This window comes from Homo sapiens, chromosome 10 (assembly GCF_000001405.40).
Source record: "Homo sapiens chromosome 10, GRCh38.p14 Primary Assembly".
Lineage (NCBI taxonomy): Eukaryota > Metazoa > Chordata > Mammalia > Primates > Hominidae > Homo > Homo sapiens.
The window spans coordinates 82841005-82864052 of NC_000010.11; the positions used below are offsets into that span (position 1 = coordinate 82841005).

The following is a 23048-nucleotide window of genomic DNA, read 5'->3' on the forward strand; positions in this document are numbered from 1 at the left end:
TCATACAGGATTAATTGGGCCCTGAATCCAATGCCTGATATCTTCATAAAGAGAGAGAAACTTGAAGATGGAGGACACACAGAGAAGAAGTTCATGGGATGACTGAGGCATGGACTGGAGTTATGCTGCCAAAAGCCCAGGAACACAAAGGATTGCTGCCAATAGCCAGAAACTGGAAGAGGCAAGGAAGGATTCTTTCCTACAGCCATTGGAAGGAGTATGGCCCTGCTAACCCCTTGATTTAGGACTTCTAGCCTCTAGAATTGTCAAAGAATGAAATTCTGTTGTTTTAAGCCATTTGGTTTATAGTAATTCATTACACCTGCCCTGGGAAATTAATACCCCACTCCTTGTACCAAAATGCGTATCAGCGTTCTCTAGAGAAACAGAAGAAATATGAATAGTGATGATTAATTAGTATACTGATCTACATTATACTATAATCACATTATATAATCATATCCTATATGAAGAGATTTATTTTAGGGAGTTGGCTTACATGATTATGGGGTCTATTTAGTCTGAGATCTGTAGGGCAGGCCAGCTGACTGGAAATTCAGGCAGGAGTTGGTACTGTATCCTTGAGGCAGAATTTCTTTTTCCAGAAAAACTTCAGTTTTGCTCTTCAGGCCTTTAGCTAATTGTAGGATGAGGCCCTCACAAACTATTGAGGGTGAACTTCTCTTACTTAAAGTCAACCAATTGTAGATGTTAACCATATCTCCAAAATTCTGTCACAGCAACATCTGAATTAGTGTTTGGTTAAATAACTGGGTACTATAGCCTAGTGAAGTTGACATATAAAGGTAAGCATCACATATGAAAAAGTAAATCAACATTTTTGCTACTTGACCCAACAAAAGTTTATTTCTTTCTCTCATCATGGCCAAATATTGTGTCTATTGGTGTGGATGGAGAGGAATTCTGGCCTCCATATAGCCACAGAAAAAATTGGGAATGAATTTAGAAATACAGAACCCATCTCGCAGCTCATCCCTCTAGGGCTGCAGGATAATTTTAAAAATCACTTGAGGTCAGGAGTTTGAGACCAGCCTGGTCAACATGGCGAAACCCCATTTCTACTAAAAATACAAAAATTTTCCAGGCGTGGTGGTGTGCGCCTGTAATCCCAGCTACTTGGGAGGTTGAGGCAGGAGGAACACTTGAACCTGGGACACAGATGTTGCAGTGGGCTGAGATCACACCACTGCACTCCAGCCTGGGCAACAAAGCGAGACTGAGTCTAACAATTAAAAAATAAAGGGCTTCAAGTGTTATATGCTTGTTTTGACTTGTATACATGCCAGTAGTGATGCCTCATACAGAACTTGGCTTACCGAATGATCAATACACATTAACTCTCTTTTTTCCTTTCATATCTGGGAATAAAGTTGATGAAGCTGCATCATCTAGCCCAGGAACTAGAATATATCTTTTTTCTTACATTGGTCAGAACTCAGAAACTTGGCTCTGCTTACCTGCAAGGGCATCTGGTAAATATAGTCTTCCTGTGTGCCTGAGAGGGAAATGAAATGTTTTGATAGATACATCATAACCCTGTCTTTGCTGTGTAGGGCTTTTCTGCTTTGTTCAATGTTATAATCCAAGCATCTAGAATAGCTCATACAGTAGTTCCTGCTAATTCATGAGGGACATGTTCCAAGGCCACAGAGAACGCCTGAAACCATGGATATTACTGAATCCCATGTTTTTATTTTTTAATTATTTTCTTAGATACAGCATCTCAATCTGTCACCCATACCAGAGTTGTAGTGGTGGTATTATATGTCGCTGCTGCCTCAAACTTCTGGCCTCAAGTGATCCTCCTGCCTCAGCCTGTGGCGTAGCTGGGACTACAGGCGCAAGCCACCACACCTGGCTAAAACTATATTTTCTTTTATACATGCACACCTATGATAAAGTTAATTTATAAATTAGGCACAGTAAGAGATTAACAACAATAACTTATGATAAGATAGAATAATTATAACAATATACTGTACTAGACACTATGTGAAGATGATCTATCTCTCTCAAAATACTATAATATTTTTGGACCATAATTGACTATAGATAACTGAAGTCACAGAAGGTATATTTGTGGAGAAGATGGGGGACTACTGTATTAGACTCTGAAACATGCTTATTGCATTAGTAATTGCTATGATTTGAATGTTTGTCCCCTCCACAACTCATGTGGAAATTTGTCATTATAACAGTATTACGAAGTGGGACATTTAAGAGGAATTATGTCATGAGGGTTACACCCACCTTATGGGTGGGACGGGTGTCATTCTCAAAGGACAATTTAGCTCCCTTTGCTCTCTCTGATCCTCTCTGCCCTTCCTTCCATCATGGACTGATGAGCAGGAAGGCCCTTATCAGATATTGGCCAGCCCCCAATCCTAGACTTTCCAGTCTCCAGAAATGAGAGCCAATATATTTCTATTCATCGTAAATTACACAGTCTGCGGTATGCTGTTTTAGCAGTACAAAACAGACTAATACAGTAATGAAAAAGGAAAATGCCAACATAAAATCAATAATAAATACAAGGAATTCTGAAGGAATAAGCTTAAGCATATTAGTTATTAAAATAAATACAAACAACTGAATTCTCTCATCTAAAGACAGATGTTAGGTGAGCACAGCAAAGCACAGCTATCTACTGTTTAAAAGAAACACCCTTCAATGATAAGATGGAAAATGAAGGGAAGGGAGAAGGGATACTAATCAAATGCATTTAAAAAAATTGGAAAACATAAAGTTAAAAAGTAGCAATATTAATGAGCAGCGAGATGCAAGGGAAGGTTAATGGGATGAATCAGGATAAAATGAGACATTAAGTAATGATAAAAGCACAATTTATCAAGATGATATCCAGCCGTTAACCAATATAAACCTATCTACATAGCAACTAAGTATATATGGCAAAACATATTAGATTTATAAGAGTTTGTTGCAAACATAATTATAATTGAAACCTCCAACATATCATTTGTCATAGTTAAATAGATCTATATATAAATATATATAAGAACACAAATAAATTAACTAAGACTATGAATGCCATAAATAGCTGGGAATTTAAATGAAATTCCTGCATATTAGCAAAGAAAAATAAATCACAGACAATGGCAGAAATTATAAAAGAAAGCTAGCTAGCTAATATGTTCTGGTGAGTGACTCCTTTTATGGGCCTCGTTTATTTGTTTCAAAAACATTTCCTTAAGTGTCTCTTTCTAATTAAATCCCATTATGCACAATGATGGACTCTGTATTTAGTCCTTATTGATACAATACTGCTGCACTCTCTATTAATCCAAATATACAGAAGATGTTGGGAGTCAGAGTGCAGTGCTGGGGAAAGGGCTAACCCCGGATGCCAAAACTGGTTTTGAGTCCTGCCCTTGTTATCACTGATGCAATTTAAAATCTCTGATAGTTGCAGTATGTATCTTGAATCCCAAACTGGAGTTCAAGTTTGAGATATTACTTACTAGTTATATGATCTTGGACAATTTACTTACCCTTATTGAGATTCAACATTCTTATATAAAAATGGAGAAACAATCTCTCGGGATGCAAGTCTGTCTACAACTTAACAACATTTTACAGGATAGTACAAAATAGTTAATCTCCTAGGATCCAAAACGCCTCTACAATCTTTTTTTTTTTTTTTTCCAAATAAGAAGCTGTATTTGTGTTAGAATAACTAAAAGACTGATGAAGACAGTGTTTGCAAAATAAAATAATGCTTTCCTCAAAGGAACAACAAAGGATTAATTAAATGAGTATTAAAAAAAAAGTCTTTGCTTCTATTTCTCAAATTTCAAAAAAATAGGTTGGAAATTTAAAGGGCTTCACAGGCCAGGAGTGGTTGCTCACGCCTGTAATCCCAACACTTTGGGAGGCTGAGGCCGGCGGATCACTTGAGGTCAGGAGCTTGAGACCAGCCTGGTCAACATGGTGAAACCCCGTTTCTACTAAAAATACAAAAGTTTTCCAGGCATGGTGTTGTGCACCTGTAATCCCAGCTACCTGGGAGGCTGAGGCAGGAGGAACTCTTGAACCCGGGACGCAGAGGTTGCAGTGAGCTGAGATCACACCACTGCACTCCAGCCTGGGCGATAAAGCGAGACTGCATCTCAAAAACAAATAGAAAATAAAAAATAAAGGGCTTCAAGTATTACATGCTTGTTTTGACTTCTATACATGCCAGTAGTGGTGCCTCATACAGGACTTGGCTTACTGAATGATCAATACACATTAACTATCTTTTTTCCTTTCATACCTGGGAATAAAGTTGACGAAGCTGCATCATTGCTCTTACTGTCATAACCACTGATGTTATCCCTACTCAATAAGCCCTTCCTGAAGAGGCCAGATGATTTCCTTTTTTACACTTATGTCATTATTGAAAATGAGGAATTGGTGATCTACAAAATAAGTTGTGATACTGGAAGGAAAACGCCAATGTGTGCTTATACGTGTAAGGCACAAGGGGATTAAAAACATGCCTGGGCAGGCAAAAAAAAAAGGGTGTAGATGTTAAAAATCTTTATAGGAGAAAGACAGAAGTTGTGGGAAATGGATAAACTGGAAATAGAAAATAAAAAGGAAAAAAAACAAACAGAAAATAAGTCAATGCAACATTTGTCTCAAACCTTTGCAATATATGAGGGAGAAAAGTAGATATGGAAGAGTATAAATATTTTAACAAAAGGAAAAAATGAATAAAATGAAAAGATACAACACAGTGGATATTTTATCTACCTTGAATATTTCTGTGAAATCGAATCACAAAAAGTACTAAGAAGGAATATTAATGCAACCTAAACTTAAAGCTACCATAAATACATACACACATATAGCACACTGAGAAGTGAGTAGACCTCAAACTTAAAGTGCATAAGATTAACCCTGGGAATTTATTAAACATACAGCTCATAGAATTTGCATTTTTATCATGCACTGTAGCTGATTCTGATACAGATTGTCAACAGTCTATAGTTGAGAAACACTGTCTGGTTGAACTATACTTCAACATTACCCCCGGAGAGATGAATGTCCTCCTAGTATTTTCATCCTGTTTCATGGGTGGGATTATAGACTCAGGACAACTTAGAGAACTGAAAATCATGTTTTTAGCTATGCAGCAGATACCACTATACTCTGAATGAATACTCTGTATCAAGCAGAACACTCACGAGGCTTTTTTCTAACCAGTGGATTTTGGCTACGAGAGAAAAAGAGATAGCAAACAAGCTTGGCACAAGATTCAGAAGAAAAGAGACTTGAAGCCTCCCTGGAAGAGAAGATAAGACAACCTGCAATGCTTAGAGGATATTTAATTTCAGCATTCTGAAATTTGGGGAATTATAATAGCAGATGATGATTATGCTCTCCACAGATTTATTAAAATACATTTTAAAAAAATGCATTTTTATGAAACAAATAGAGCTTACTTTAAGGGATCCCTGAATGATTATTATTTTTCAGTATCAAATAGAATTCAAAGAAGAAAGCTGTTTAATGTTCATTTATGAAGGACTGCCAAAAATTCAAAGGTAGAAGATTCTCTGCTTGAAAAAGCAGAACAATCAGCACAAATGGAAGATTTTGAGAGTAATGTCAAGACGGTGTGTGTGTACAATATGAAGATAATAAAACAAATACATAATTGTAAGCATTGCATATAATGGGGTATAATAACTTCTAAATACTTCATTTCTAAGAAAAGGATATCCACTTATAAACGATATAAATCTGAAGTTCTCATTACATAAATTCTGCAGTAGTTTGGTTTTGGAGTTGTGGTGCAAACAGAACCACATAGAATATACAAAATACGCACCTACTATGAGCGAGATTGTGCTTGTGCTTTTATCAATTAAGATAATGTTCAGCTGCAAGAGCCAGAAAACTCAATTAAACCATGGTTTGAGTAAATTGTGGGTTTTGTTTTTCTGAAGTTGTGGGAAGTACAGAGGTGTAGGAGTCTGGGGCTGTTACAGCACTGCAGACTCATCAGAGATCCAGTTCCTTAAGTTCTTCTCATCTACCATCGTAGCATGTGGTTTTCCAAACTCATGCAGCTGCCTTCGAATTGCAGGAAGGCTGCTCTGTCCAGCCTCCAGGCTGAAGAAAGAGGGCACCCAGCAAATGGCATGTGGCAATTAAATCTGTCTTTAGAAAGAGCTTTTCTGAAAGCCCCATTTGGAAATTATCTGCTCCAGTCTTATAAAACAGCACTGTGTCACATGACCACCCTACATGGTACAAAGAAGGCTGCAAAATTCAGGATTTTAGTTGGCTACGTTGACACTTTGAATAGATGTGGTACAGTGGCGAGTAGATATCAAGTAGGCAAATAGCAATGTCTACCAAATTAGATATATTATCTAATTTAATTGTTTTACAAATTACATGCATTTCATTTCTTCAATAGATGAGGAACTGAAACATAGAAATGTTAAGTAACTTATCTAAGGTCAAACATGGTTACTGAAAGGTACAGTCTGGTATGAAAGCCCATATAATTAAATGCGAATATCTTTTCCCACTATATCACATTCCTTTAGGTACCACCAAGCCAAATATTTTCAGATGGTAATTTTCAGAAAAATGTGTATATCATGAATACTTCAGTCAGATGTATTTTGATGGTGGAGACTACATTTCCTCACCTGAGACTGAAAATTTATTTAGGGCACCGACCATGTCTTCAACACTTTTGCATTCCCAGTGCGTAGTCCAGGGTTGTATCAGTAGAAACCTTGAGATGCTGGCTAAATGTGGATTAAGAAATTGTATTTTAAGCTCACAGAATTCGACAAGATTTTAAAATTTTATTTATTCTAATATCCTCACAAGGTTCACAGAGCATGTTATAGAGTAGGCATTGAGTAAATATTTGCTAACTTTAAATAAGTAATTAAAATTTGATTTTATTGCGAGATATCAGAGAAACATATATGCAGAGAAAAAAGCATGACAGTAAAAGGAGTAGTTTGTATTAGAGTCATGAGTTTGACACAAAGCTCACAGGGAGCTGGAAATGCATGAATGGATAAATTGGCCTTTGCTGCACTTCAATATGATGAATTTCATTGAGTCACTAAAAAATATTTGTTGAGCACCTACTTTATATCTGACATTGTGTTGGATGTCATAGATACAATGAATAAAACAACACAAACACGTCCTTGTGGCTTAAATTTTGTCTTCTAAAGATGTATATGTTATGTCCTGCCCAAGACTATAGGAATCCAACTCTTGCATCAAGGTAACCCAGATGTGAGGACATGGATTCAAATGAGATCATTTTGGAGCTTTATGATTTGACTGCCCTGCTGGATTTCAGACTTGCATGGGGCCTGTAGTCCCTTCATTTTGGTCAATTTCTCCAATTTGGAATGGGTGTATTTACCCAATGCCTTTACCCACATTGTATCTAGGAAGTAACTAACTTGCTTTGATTTTACAGGCTCATAGGTGGAAGGTACTTGCCTTGTCTCACATCGGACTTTGGACTGTGGACTTTTGAGTTAAGGCTGAAATGAGTAAAGACTTTGGGAGACTGTCAGAAGGGCATGATTGTGTTATGAATTATGAGGACATGAGATTTGGGAAGGGTGGTAGGCAGAATGATATGATTTGGCTGTCTCCCCACCCAAATTTCATCTTGAACCGTAGTTCCCATAATCCCCACATATCATGGTGGGAGGGACCCAGTGGGAGACAATTGAATCACGGGGGTGGGTTTTCCCATGCTGTTCTCATGATAGTGAATAAGTCTCACGAGATCTGAGGGTTTTATAAAGGGTGGTTCCCCTGCACATGTTCTCTTGCCTGCCGCCATGTAAGATGTGCCTTTGTTCCTTCTTTGCCTTCTGCCATGATTGTGAGGCCTTCCCAGCCATGTGGAACTGTGAGTCCATTAAACCTCTTTTTCTTTATAAATTACCCAGTCTCAGTTATATCTTTATTAGCAGTATGAGAATGGGCTAATACAAGTCCTAATACCAGTAACTCCAATTACCTTATTTGGAGATGGAGGTCTTTAAACAGGTAATCAAGTTACAATGGGGTCTTTAGCATGGGCGCTAATCGAATATAACTGATATCCTTATCAAAAGGGGAAATTTGGACACAGACATGCACATAGGGAGAACACCATGTAAAGATGAAGGGAGAGATTGGGGCAATGCTTCTACAAGCCAAGAAACAGCAAAGATTGCCAGTGAACCATCAGAAGCTAGGAGAGTGACATAGGACAGATTCTGCCTCACAATCCTGAGATGGAACAAACACTGCTGACACCTTGATTTCAGACTTCCACCTTCCAGAACTGAGAGAGGATACGTTACTTCTCTTTAAGCCCTCTACTTTCTGGTGCTTTGTTATGGAAGCCCTAGATAACTAACACACAGTGAAGCCCCTGCCTCACAGAGCTTTACATTCTAGTGTGGAGCAGAAAAGGAAATAGAAAATTACCAGAGAGACATGGTTATTCTTTATATGGTGGTAAATTGTTAGGAGTAAAGAAAAGTAGGGTGAGGAGGATAGGAAGTGCTGCTTTATATGATGTGACCTCTGATAAGATGCCATCAGGAGTGAAAGAAGGTGAGAGATTGAGCTTTGTAAATGTCTGAAAGAAGAGCATTATAGGCAGATGCAGCAGCCAGCCCATGGCTCTGAGGAAGAAGAATGTATTTTGGTTAGAAGAACTGCTAAGAGGTTAATGTGGCTGAATTGGATGGAGTAAGGGAGAGGGGAAAGGTAGGAGGAGTGTGGTCAGAGAAGACCACATAGATTGTATAGGTCCATTTTAGATTCTGATGGTGACTTTGGCTTCTATTCCAGAGATGCCATGGGAGGGATGTTCAAAGCAAAGGGATAGTGTGATCTGATTTAAGTTTTAAAGGGATCTCTCTGGGCTGTGTGGAAAGATAACATAGGTAGGGAGCAAAGGTGGAAGCAGATAAATCAGGGAGAAGCCTTCTGTAGTAAAACCATCCAGGTGAGAGAAGTGGTTGGCTTGAACCAGCTTGTTGGTTGGTAGAAGACAGAAGGGGCTACGTGAACAGTTAGACAAAGCATTGCATATACAAGGAAATGCTTGACAGAGGAATGGAGACAAGTTTTCTAGAGGATGCTTCAAGGAGTTTCCACTTAGGAGAAGCACCTTAGAGGGGACATTGAATATTAGCACTGGAAGGAAGTTGGTGCAGAAGAGAATTTGGCTTGCTGTAGCCATGCAGTCATCCAGAGCGATGAGGTTATCAACCATTACAAGATTCACTCCTCCCACTCATGTCTTTGATTGACATTTCTGGTCCCCAGCGTGCTGCTCTCACATTTTGGTCCCTGCAATGAGCAAATGAATTTCGTTTCCTCTAGTGAAAGCTCAATTTGAACAACGGGGGAAAGGTTTTATTTAAATCTCCTACAGCTTTGAACTCATCTTGGATTCACCATCCATCTGTCAACCTGAAAAAAGAAAAATTACTTAAAACAAAAATTCAAACTGAATTGACACCAAATAAAATATCAAATGCTGGTAGCAAGAATGATCCAATAGGAAGTGCTTAACAGCATGAAAGCTCAAAAATTGGTTGAAAAATTATTTGCATCTAGCTGTTTAAATATTTTGTTTAGTTGCCATACAAATTACCTTATTTTAGACTCCAAATTTTTTAAGAGCAAAAAAAAAAAAGAAATTTAAAAACACAGAAGTTTAAAATAAAGTAAAATGTAAAGATAACATGACTTTGAGTTCAGTGAGATTGTATCTAATTTTGAAATATAGTAAGTTAATTAAATAGCTTCTTAATTTTGCAGCAGGAACAAATCTCAGTCTACAAAATGTGGGGTGGATGTGTGATAACTGGCCATAGACATACTGAATTTAAAGGGTAAATACTTGAAACCTATCACCTGAGTTTGAATCCCAGCACTTTTTTTACAAGTTGAGGAAATTTGTTAACCCATGCTTCAGCTGCATCTCTAAAATGGGAATAAAAATAGAACCGACTTTATAATATTGCTGTAGGTTTTCAGTGAGTTAAGTCATGTAAAGTAAATAGAGTGACTGCCTTGATTAAGCCTTAAAAACTTAAGCTGTATTATTATTTTTTATTATTTAAATTTCCTAATTTTCTATTTAAAGTTACATTTCACTGGCTTAGAGAAAAGTGTAAACACATTTCGTTTATCTAATTCCAGCTTCCTGGGATTTGCATCAAACTTTGGGAAGAGGCATGACTTACACAGGGCCTAAGCATTGGTGCTCTTGGAGGACACGGAGCTTGGGGGTTGGGCAGATTCTCTGTGGTATTGACGATCCTTGTCTTATTTTCTTCTCATTGGAGCAGGAGGCAGGGAAAGAAATGCATGGCTCAGCAGCAGCAGCATGCATATTTATTGCTGAAGGTCTTCTCCCAGACATTTTGGATTTTTTTCCATTTGTTACCTTCACCTAGAAAATCTTTAGTGTATTAATCTGCAGAGGGCATCTGGTCCTTTGTCTATACCATGAAATCTGTTATTCTGTACCTTTATTTCTTCTGAGCTAAGGATTGGATAACCTCAAATATTTTTCTCTCTCTCTTTTTATTGCCAAGATCTCCCTTCCCTAAGGCAATGGAAGAAGACATACAGGAGAGAAGGAACTACAAATAAGAGAGATCACCTTGAACAAAAGTTCGAAAGTCCATGAAGCTATATAGTTTTTTTCTTTTTGAATTTGTTCATATGCTTGATCTGTGCCAGGAATTGTCCTGAAATTTATGATATAAAGAAAAATTAAGCAAATCATTTAATTAAATTGCGTACTGTCACTTGGAGAAGATGGGCAAGCAAACTAATGACTATAATAATTAGAGTGGAGTGTGATGAGACTCAGAGTATGTAGATATAAAACATTCCACAAAAGACCATTTGTAGTAGTGACCCTCTGTAGGGAAAGATATGCATTCCAACATTGGTTTTACTTGAAGTGAGTTGATAAAAATGAAGCTTACCAGACTGCATATGAGCAAGGCGGGACTTTGGAATTGGAAAGGGAATGTGGGGATAGCACTGGAGAAGCAGGATAGGGCTGCAGCAACACTGATCGACAGGGAACACTAAACAAGGTGGACTGTTTTCTGTGGGTGAAGTCTGCGTGCTTTAACAAAGTAAGATACTTCGTATCTTAAGAAAATTAGCACTCGTAAGTGGGAGTCGAACAATGAGAACACATGGACACAGGAAGGGGAACATCACACACCGGGGCCTGTCAGGGGCGTAGGGGGAAAGGAGAGGGAGAACAGTAGGACAAATACCTAATGCACACGGGGCTTAAAACCTAGATGGCAGGTTGACAGGTGCAGCAAACCGCCATGGCACATGTAAACCTATGTAACAAGCTTGCACATTCAGCACATGTATCCCAGAACTTACAGTAAAAATTAAAAACTAATAATAGTAAAATAAAATACAGCTATTAAAAAAAAAGAAAGAAAATTAGCTCACCTCTCTGAAACTCAGTTTTCTCATCTATAAAATACCATCACTAGCAAGGATGCTATGAGGATGAGGGAGGAGGATGTCATTCAGATTCCCAAACCTATAATACGTAGACGGTAGTTTCAAGGAAGGATGTGGATTCTATTCGTTTGCCTTGGTAATGGCTAAGTGATGTAAAATTAGAAATTTCTAAATTCATCCATACGTAGCTTCTGACATCTGCAGACCACATCGAAAAGGTTATCACACTAACGGGGTGCCGAGTGGAGTAATTATTTCCAGTCAAATATCTTGAAAATACATATAGAAAGTTACCAAGACTAGAGGAGAAGGTAGTGGGAGCATGAGGGTAAGACTTTAAAATACCTGGATTCAACTGAGTTCCCAACTAATTATTAGACAATAGTTTCCTCCATTGCAGTCAACCCTTCCTGATTTTTTTCTTTTTAAAAGAAGACATTTAAAAAATCTTTTTATTGGTGTAGTCACTTGCATGATGGCCTGGTTTGACTGAGGTGTTAGAATAGGGTAAGGCAGGATTTTACCTTCCTCCAACCCACTGTAGGTGATTTGCAATTCAATGAGCAATAAATTATATAATTCCAAATATGGAGTGTGTGTATGTGTGTATTTTAATGGACATCTTTTGGAAATGCCCAGAAAATCTGGAAAATTATGGCGCCAAAGATGGCCTGAATGAAAGCATTAGTAGAAATTAGTATAAAGTTTTTGCTTAGTCTTGCTTTGGCTATGTGGGCTCTTTTTTGGTTTCATATGAATTTTAGGATTGTTTTTTCTAGTTCTGTGAAGAATGATGGTGATATTGTGATGGGAATTGCATTGAATTTGTAGATTGCTTTTGGCAGCATGGTCATTTTCACAATATTGATTCTACCCATCCATGAGCATGGGATGTGTTTCCATTTGTTTGTGTCATCTATGATTTCTTTCAGCAGTGTTTTGTAGTTTTCCTTGTAGAGGTCTTTCATCTCCTTGGTTAGGTATATTCCTAAGTATTTTTTTATTTGTATTTTTTTGTGGCTCTTGTAAAAGGGGTTGAGTTTTTTATTTGATTGTCAGCTTGATTGCTGTTGGTGTAGAGCAGTGCTACTGATTTGTGTACATTAATTTTGTATCCTGAAACTTTGCTAGATTCATTTATCAGTTCTAGGCATTTTTTGGATGCATTTTTAGGGTTTTCTAGGTATACAATCATATTATTGGCAAACAACAGTTTTACTTCCTCTTTGCTAATGTGGGTGCCCTTTATTTCTTTCTCTTGTCTGATTGCTCTGGTTAGGACTTCCCATATTTTACTGAATAGAAGTGGTGAGAGTGGGCATCCTTGTCTTGTTCCAGCTCTCAGGGGGAATGCTTTCAACTTTTCCCCATTCAGTATGAAGCTGGCTGTAGGTTTGCCATAGATGGCTTTTATGACTTCGAGGTATGTCTCTTCTATGCCAGTTTTGTTGAGGTTTATACTTCCCAAAAGTATACCTACAATGAGAAAGAAAATTGGTGGGATTATGTGAAAAGATTCAATAAGCATTCACTTGCCATATGCTATTGGAAAGGCACTAGAGGCGGAAGAAAATCACAGTTCACCTAATTAATTATGATATAGATATATTGCTACTAGTTATAATCCAAGGCATAATAATTCTACATGCTAAATGGAGATCCCATCATCATTCATAGAAAAGTAGAGCAGGTAACATTATTTCAGGAAATCAGGGATAGCTTCTGGAGGAATTAGGCCTTGAAAGATGGGAAGAGTTTGTTAGAGGAAGACTTGGGAGTTCATCAGGAAAAATATTTAAGCTAATGGAATGGCAGGAACAAAAAGATGATGTGTGTTGTGTACAGGGTTCTATTTCGGGGAGTGTGAGCAGAACAGAATGCTTGGAGTTTTGGGGAAAAGGGGAGAAAGGGTGTTCTTTATTTTTTGTTGTTTAATCTTTCAGTGATTTCCTATGAAAGAACTTTAAAATGCCAGATACCTTCTGCATTTGAAGAATGATTTTTTTTCACATAAGCAGACACCATTGTGTAAAACAAAATATAGTAAACAAAGCCAACCAGGCTTTAACGATGGACAAGCCCGACTTCCGAAGCTACAGTGCCTTGCCACTAAATATGAGCCTGACTTGAAGAGTAGTTAACAAAATCATTTTTTAAAAATGTGAGTTCATCTTGTCTTACCTCACACAGTTTCTTGATGGTATCAGTTGCTGCCTAATTTCCTGAGTCCTAACCTAAGAGTACCTCCTCCTGGTTAGGGTCTCAACTTGCCTTCTTAGAATGAATTCTTTTCACTACATTCTCACCATGGATCTTCTCTTTTCTTAAGTCATCAGTAAAGAGATTTTCTACCATATCCACTACATTACAGTATTTGGCTGCTCTAGATGAATATCTTGGGCAGTTGGTCCAGGACTTACAATCCTCTACCTTGATCCTTTGGGTAGCCTTTCTGTTTGGTTCCTCTGTCTTAGACAGATGGGCAGGAGAGGGTTCCTCTTCTAGTATCTTCATGTCACAAGGTGTTATCCATGACGGGAAGTGGGGGTGAGTTGTCTTTGGCGTTTCTTTAGTGGAGTGCAGCTCAGAGCAGTGTTTCTTAAAATATGTCCATCATTTTGTGAAGTGGTATTCGTCATGATGATATTGCAATTTAAATTCAGAAGTGTGAATAAAAGCATGGTATTAAAACAATTTATGAACCAAGGCTTCAATCATTAGTATGATAACTGCAAACACATATATAAACACATGGCTGTTTGCCATGTAATCCTTCTTTCTTTTCTTTCATTTCTTTCTCTTGAGTAGACTTTCCCCTATTTTATTCTAACCCTTCCATCTATTAACCGTAAACTCGTCTGTGTGTCTTTTTTTTAAAGAGACAGTGTCACTCTGTTGCCCAGGCTGGAGGGCAGTGGCACTATCTAGGCTCACTGCAACCTCGACTTCCCAGGCTCAAGCCATCCTCCCACCTCAGCCTTCCTGGTAGCTGGGACTATAAGCACACACCACCATGCCCGGCTGATTTTCGTATTTTTTGTAGAAATGGAGTTTAGTTATGTTGTCCAGGCAGGTCTCAAACTCCTGAGCTCAAGTGATTCGCCTGCCTCAGCCTCCCAAAGTGCTAGGATTGCAGGTGTGAGCCACCACGTCCAGCTGTGTGCCTTCATTGATACTAATGTAGATTGAAGCTGAAAAGATAGGAATAAAAAAAAAACCCAGAACATGTGGCAGCTATTACAAAGATTGATTAAATTGATGTTGTTAAGGGGAAAAACCCTTAAATAGCATCTATGATAGCATTTTAGTGACCATGGAAAATTTAATATTTTTTCTGATAGTGGACCACTTACTCAAGTGAATCCTAAATTATATACAAAAATTACGTAACAAAGACAGCCATGAGTTGGACCCTGTTGGATAATAATCTAGTGTTTTCTAGATTCCAGAATTGTAGATTCAAGTGAGTAGAATTGGAATGTACTTTGATTTGGGGGAGTTTTCTGGAAACAATTGTGGATATCGTTTTTCAATATTGAATGAGTTGCCACCAGAGGTGTCATGTTGCTTGGAATCATCAATAACTCAGAAGTGACAGAGAACAGCCTGGGTATGCTCTGAAAGACATATAGATGTCACATGTTGAGAGCTTAACCAGATGGCATTTTTACTCATGCAATAAATACATATTGAGTGTCCACAAAATGTCAGACTCTGTGATAGGGTGGAGCAATGAAAGAGTGAGAAAAAGAAACAACTACCCTTCAGTCCTGGGATTTGAGATTTTTTCCCATCCTAGGAATCTAGGAATCTACAAATATGACCTTCAGTTTTACACAGAAGCTTCTTTTTTTAATTGTTAAATGGGGCTCAGTTGCACTACTTTACAGCCTAATTTTAAAAATTAGATAAAAGGATATGTGGGCTGGGCACAGTAGCTCACGCCTGTAATCCCAGCACTTTGGGAGGCCAAGGTGGGCGGATCACTTAAGGCCAGGAGTTTGAGACCAGCCTGGCCAACATGGGAAAACCCTGTCTCTACTAAAAATACAAAAATTAGCTGGGCATGGTGGCCGTGCCTGTAATCCCAGCTACTTGGGGGGCTGAGACAGGAGAATCACTTAAACCTGGGAGGCAGAGGCTGCAGTGAGCCGAGATTGTGCCATTGCACTCCAGCCTGGGAGACAGAGCAAGACTCTGTCTCAAAAAAAAAAAACAAAAAAAAAAAAAAAAAGAAAAGAAAAGGATATGTGTAGAAGTGCCCAGTGACAAAATGCAAGAATTTTAGAAAGTTGATAAAACATGAGAAGATCCTGGGAGACACATGTGAATCTCAAGAGCAGGAACTCTAGTGTATTCACCTGTACACAGTTACTATCACTAGTGACAGAAACAATAGAGAAGTATTTTCTTTCTGAATGAAGAATTCTTCTCTATAATGGTAATTCCTATTAAATCCTTTAATCGGTAATTGCAAAAATGGAATAAGATTTCAGTCTAATGCTCCAAGATGTTTGCACTGCAAAATTCTACCCATTATTTAGTCAAAATCCATCTCTGAGGAGCAGCCTAAGCAAATGATCTCTCCTTAACCTCAGTTGAAACCTTGTCATGCTATTTCACTTTGCTTAGCAGAGTGCTCATCTTGAGTTTGCTGTATACCAATATGGGGGTGCAGTCTCCATGGCTGCCTGCTTCTCCCCATCCTTTGATACAAATCAACATTCTTGTTTAGAGAATGATAAGAGATTATTAAATTCAGGTATCAGCAGTGGAGTTTTGGGGAAGAAAAATAAAGAGATCATGCTCTGTAACACAGCCCTGAGAAAGGAGACTGGGGCTGTGTGCTTTCTAGAAAAGTGGTTTTCCCTCCTGCATGACTGATGGCCTGTCTGGTGTGAGGCTGACCATGGTAATAATGTCGTGACCTACTCTCCACAGTGGAAAAAGCTGTCGGTTCTGATGTGATGGAGGTTGGGTGTGGGAGATTGGGATTACAGAACTGCAGTGGCCACAGATAGACTCCTGATTTAGTCACATAAAACAGGATGATTTTGTGTAAAACTGACATTTAGTTTATTTTACATATATGGAAGGAAGACTAGGAAGAACATAAAACAATTAGCAGGAATTACTTCTAAGAGATATTGAGGGAAGTATCAATTTCTTTTGATTAATATGATTTTTTACATTCCACTTTTTATTTGTGAAGATGTATAAATCTAAAATTAAATATACATGCCCACAAAAATAAAATTATGTATTTAGTGACTTAGCGTAATTTCATAAAGGGAGCATGAAGTTTAGAATCAGCCCTGCAATTAACATCCTAAATTTTGCACTAAGGATAAAATGCTTGAAAAAGGATGAAGTGATAATATCCCTTTCTTTTTAGGACAGACATTCTAGGATTGAACACAGCTCCTGGAAAGGAGCTTTTCTGCCTCGCTCACCAGGAGTGTGCTCACACTCTTGACAGTTCCCTGTGCTCCTTTCCCACTGTGGGATTTAAGGCCAAAGAGATTGGATCTGGCTGCCACACTCCTTCCTGCTGCCATATTCTCTTAGTGACCATCAAATGTCACGTCCCTTGTTGACACAGCACTATGCTCTGGAAGCCTTTGTTGAACCCTATTCCGCTGTCCTTTGACCCTTTTACTTTTTGAAATGTATATATTCTGTGGATCCCATGTTTTGTTTTCTAGCCTGCAGCTTCCCTCAGCAACTACAGCCAGAGCCAGCCCCATTCCCTTCTCCCCTCCTAATCAGAACTCTTAAAGTCTACTCCAGTCTTTCTTAGCTTGCCTGTTTTGCTGTAATAAACTGGGACATGCAGGGCAAAGTCTCAACACAGGACATCTCAGCATCTTGTCCATACTCTTATCTCGGAGCAAGAACACACGGACCCACTGTTGATACCTGAGACAATTATATTTCTTTACAATGATTTTAGAAACTACTAGAGCATGATGAGCTCAGGTGTTATGGTTAGCAAATGTGGAAGACTCAACTTGCCTTCCTCACAAAACCTATTTGCTCTTCTCAGTTGCAATGGACTACCTCTACCTGGAGTGTCACCAGTGAAAAAGTTACTTGACAGGGATCTGTGGGTGGAATCTACAGAGTGACAGATTTCAGTTCAGTTATTAAGATAAAGCATTTATAACTGACATGTTTTGTAATTGAGTGGGTGGTTTGCTCCACATTCCTATGGCAAGTATTTCCCAGAGCAGGTACCTTATATCGGTAGTCCCACTGGGGGCTCCATGACAACGCAGCTGTTTTCATCAAGTTGGAAACGCTGTCACTGAATTACTGCCCATGGACTCTCCACATACCTAGGAGGGAATTGGGGGATTCTTGCAGCAGAGAAGCCCATTTAACTTCAAGGCAGTAGTCTAACTTTTTTTTTTTTTTTTTTTTTTGAGACGGAGTCTCGCTCTGTCGCCCAGGCTGGAGTGCAGTGACACGATCTCGGCTCACTGCAAGCTCCGCCTCCCCGGTTCATGCCATTCTCCTGCCTCAGCCTCCCGAGTAGCTGGGACTACAGGCGCCCGCCACCACGCCCAGCTAATTTTTTGTATCTTTTGGTAGAGACGGGGTTTCACCGTGTTAACCAGGATGGTCTCAATTTCCTGACCTCGTGATCCGCCTACCTCGGCCTCCCAAAGTGCTGGGATTACAGGTATGATCCACCGCACCCGGCCAGTAGTCTAACTTTTTAAAACACAGATCAATATTTTCCTGGAACATGCTTTTCCATATCCCATAGACCAGGGTTTAAATGATCACACTTGGGACCCTTGTATGATCAGAATCATCTCGCTCCGTTACTTTTAGCACAGGGCTGATGCTTAAACCCACATTGTGTCGCTTTGTCCCAGGGCTGCATTGCAGTGAGTTCCTGTTCATAGGCTGGGTGACAAGTTAAAGGTGGCATCCTGAGATTGGAATCAAGGCAACGATGTTTTCGCTTGCTCTGTTGCAGCCTGCCCACCTCGGGGGAATGTCAGCAGCCCCTTTTTGTCAGCATATAAACAAGAGGTTTTGAATTGTTCAGTCATAGAGAATTGTGAATGCGTTAGAAACACCCAGGCCTTAAACTTCGGTTAGTGGTTAGATAAGAAGAAAAAGTTCAAGGGAACTATTGTACAATGCGGCAACTATAGTTAATAACAATGTATTTGCTAACAGAATACATTTTAAATGTTCTCACCGCATAAAGATAAGTATGTGAATGCGTATGTTAATTAACCTGATTTAGCCATTCCACAATGTATACGTATTCCAAAATATCTGGTTTTACAGCATAAATTTATAGAATTTTTGTTAATTAAAAAATGTGGGCTTCAAATTTCCAAGTGTTTTCCAGGAATTTTTGGTGTTAAAAAAAAACATTCATTTTGTCTTGCTAGACAGGTACCTAGTCCTAAAATCTTAAGAATGTTTCAGCTCTGCAGCAGAGCTGCTGGCATTTATTAAGTATGTTGCTAGTTGTAAGATCATTTGGTTCAATGTTGGGCATATTTTCAGACTCAACAATTTATATTTTGCTTGCTGTATGTGCAAGCAAATAACTTCAACTAGGCCAGCCTCGTTGTGAAGAAATTTCCCCGGTAACCAATGAAGAAATATTAATGATTTGCCAGTTGGTCTCCTCGGAGACAGATAACAGTTGTCTTCCTTTGTCTGCCCCGCTACCTAGCTTATATTTGGCACTTCATCAATAAACTAGGGGTGAGAAAGTAAATAAGTGGTGCTTCTACTCTGCCTGAGGATACTTGAAAGCAACTTGTTCTCTTAAGTGGATTAAATAATTCCTCCCTGAAGATCTCATTACTTGATAATTTTGTAAAAATTAGCTTTTTCTTTATAGGAAGGGGGTAAGTAAACTTTGAGTATAACTGGTAGCTAAGAGCCAAGCCGGCCTAGGCTCCATCATGTTCCCAGCACTTATGGGCAATCTGGTTTAGAGAAAGTTAGTTCCCCTCTCCGTGCTTCCGTTTCTTACCAGTAAAATGAACATTACAACAATCTTATAAATTGCTGTGAGATAATATTTAAAGCAGTTCCTGGTACGCAGTAAGTGCTCAGTAAATGTTACCCACTACTGTATAATCCAAAGGTGGGAGTGTTCCAAAACAAATGCTAATTTTACAAATAAAAATTTTGGAGTGTTAAAAGGAAGGAAGTTATATGTTCAAACATATGTATGTCATAGATAAAATCAAACTGTTTTTGCTTAAACTATGTGCCTCTTCTTCCACCCTAATATCTGTGCAGTACTTGACACATAGTTTGCTGAGTGAATGAATGAACTATTAATTAATTAATCTTCACCTGTATCGCTTGATGTTTTCCTGCAGGCGTGAATATCCCTGGGCATACTGCTTGCTTTGAGAAATAGCCAGTGAAGGGTTATGAGAAATAGTGCGATTTATGATCTGTGTATGACTCAAATGACAAAATTAATTGCTTTTTTGTCATCTGTTCTTCATGGATTTTCATTAATTCTTCCATATGAACCAAATCCTGTCTTAAACCCTGCAGTAATGATCACGGTGTTTAACATTTTAATAAAACGATGGAAGCATGTATGTGTGTGTGTCTGTGTGTGTGTGTGTGTATTCATGACAAAGAAAGTGAGAGAGAGAGAAAGAAAGAGAAAAATAATTTACATGAGAGTTAACTTTTTATTTGTATGTCCAGTGGTGTCAGTTGCCATGAATAAGCTATTATAAAAAATTAATAAATAATTTCCCATTAAAATACAAAAATATAAATGCCATCTTCCTTGAGAGTATTTCTGAAAGTTAAAAACTCTAATAATTGGATAACTTTTCTGTTATGTTAAAAGAGGACAGTTTTTCTTTCCCTTAAGAAGATTCCTACTTATCCTATTCAGTGTTTGAATAATTTCCAAATTTTGATTTCTGTCTCTGCTACTGGTCATAAACATATTGAGGTTTCAAAACATTCAGATTGGCCCTCCATTAATCAAACATGCCACTCATTTCTTAGCACAATCTACAGATTCACAAAGCCCGATGCTCCATATCCCTTGTCACATCCGGAGGCAGAGCATTGAAGTTCATGGAAGAAGGAAGAAAGCCATGCCTGAGTTGCACCTGCCAGCAAAACAGATGACAGGCAGCCAATTCTGAGCCATCTCAGCTGCACCGGAAAGTTCTTGTTCAAACAGGCTGTATCTAAAGACTTTCTAATTACCCTCTCATGTCATGGAACACCTGTGGTCCACTGTTTGAGATCCTCTGCTCCCTGATTTCTGTACACTTGCCTCTCCTGGTTTCCTTCCTGCAACCTCCTCTTCTGTCTATATGAAAAAGTTTAGTTTTTATTCCCAGCTGTTCACAAATATTATTTTTAGTGTAATGATAGGTAATCCTTATTTTAAATGTCACAACTCTAGTCTCTCTCCAATGTCCTAGGTACCACAGTCAGGAAGCTTCCTATTTGCATAAGAATGAAAACATGGTCTTGAGGCAGGATAAGTAAGGTTAGGACCCATACTTACTTGTCCTGTGTGTAAAGCTCAGTGGGCCACTTTTATAGCTGGCTCTTTCCCCTTGCACCCTCAGGCATCAACACCTAACTCTTTTGCAAGATAAGCGGTCCTACCGAATACCAACAGACTGTTAGATGGTTACAAGTTCCTGATACTCAGTATGGGCTTGGGGAAGAGAACAAAAGTCTGTTATTCCTGATGTAACTTCCCCAGCACCAAAAGCACAAGAAACTATTAGCTACAAATTTCTGCCTGCTGGGCACTGAGAGAGGGGCAGAGACTCCTCCAGTGTCCCACAGGCATAGCTAGACTCAAGGTTTAGCTTATAGTAATATTTTTCTCATTTTAATATCAAAAAACACCCCTTAGATGGAGATTTTATATGCTAATGATACATATGATATGTGTTAGAGCATGTAGATCCTGAGTGTATGTACTAACCACAGATCCACCTTTACATACTTGACCTCACCAGTATTTTATGAATATGTCTGTACAGTTTCCGTAAAGGAAATTCCCTTCAAGACCCTAGGGGCTATCTCTGTCTTTGAGCAGCCCACTCTGCCTCTCAGATTTTGAGAGCTAATCCCAAGTAAGAGTAGACAAACAAGTTTGTTGCACCTCACTTTGCAATACTTTCGCTTTGATATAAACTTCTTTGTCTACACTTACTTGGGATTCGCTCTCAAAACCTTTTGTGCAGAGAAGTCAACGACCTGAACAAGGCTACTGACAATAGTCTTGCCAAATTTTCTACAAACTCCATTCTTCTTTATTTTTATTTTATTTTATTTTACTTTAAGTTCTGGGATACATGTGCAGAACATGCAGGTTTGTTACATAGGTATACATGTACCATGGTGGTTTGCTGCACCTATCAACCTGTCATGTAGGTTTTAAGCCCCACATGCATTACGTATTTGTCCTAATGCTCTCCCTCCCTTTGCCCCTTACCCCCCAACAGGCCCCAGTGTGTGATGTTCGCCTCCCTGTGTTCATGTGTTCTCATTGTTCAACTCCCACTTATGAGTGAGAACATGTGGTGTTCAGTTTTCTCTTCCTGTGTTAGTTTGCTGAGAATGATGGCTTCCAGTTTCATCTATGTCCCTGCAAAGGATATGATCTCATTCTTTTTTATGACTGCATAGTATTCTATGGTGTATATGTGCCACATTTTCTTTATCCAGTCTATCATTGATGGATATTTGGGTTGGTTCCAAGTCTTTGCTATTGTAAATAGTGATGAAATGAACATACATTTGCATGTGTCTTTATAGCAGAATGATTTATAATCCTTTGGGTATATACCCAGTAATGGGATTGCTGGGTCAAATGGTATTTCTCGTTCTAGATCCTTGAGGAATCGCCACACTGCCTTCTACAATGGTTGAACTAATTACACTCCCAACAACAATGTAAAAGTGTTCCTATTTCTCCACGTCCTCTCCAGCATCTGTCGTTTCTTGACTTTTAATGATCGCCATCCTAACTGGCGTGAGATGGTATCTCATTGTGGTTTTGATTTGCATTTCTCTAATGACCAGTGATGATGAGCTTTTTTTCATATGTTTTTTGGTGGCATAAATGTCTTCTTTTGAGAAGTCTATTTATATCCTTTGCCCACTCTTTGATGGGGTTGTACAAACTTTATTCTTTGTATTGCACATTCTCTCCCTCCTAGGAGCAAGTTTATGGGTCCATGGCCTCTTCATCCAGTGCACATTTTCTGCTTTTCCATTATAGCACTTATTACAAAGAATGACCATAGCTTTTTCTCCATGGTCTCTCATTCATTTCTGAGCTACCTGAGAACAAGAATCCTTTCTTTACATGAAAGTGTGCCTGATATCTATCACCATGTGTATGATGACCACAGAGTAAGCAGTCAAGAAATGCCAGGGAAATAAATGAATGCATCTACTTTTTAGAAACATTGTCACCATCTTTCTTTATGTAATTAAATGTGAACGGTTCATAAGGCAAATTG

At 38.6% G+C, this 23048-nt stretch overlaps 1 protein-coding gene across 24 annotated transcripts in view; it reads left to right on the plus strand.

Annotated features, from left to right (window-relative positions):
• NRG3 (neuregulin 3) overlaps positions 1-23048 on the plus strand; it is a 1111986-nt gene that overhangs the window by 965811 nt on the left and 123127 nt on the right. Inside the window, exon 5 of one of the 24 annotated variants that reach the window (NR_163253.1) lies at positions 18130-18220. The exons of the other annotated variants lie outside the window; for them this stretch is intronic. The gene's annotated coding sequence lies outside the window, so the exon portion shown is untranslated. The remainder of the gene's footprint in view (positions 1-18129; positions 18221-23048) is intronic. 24 annotated transcript variants of the gene reach the window in all.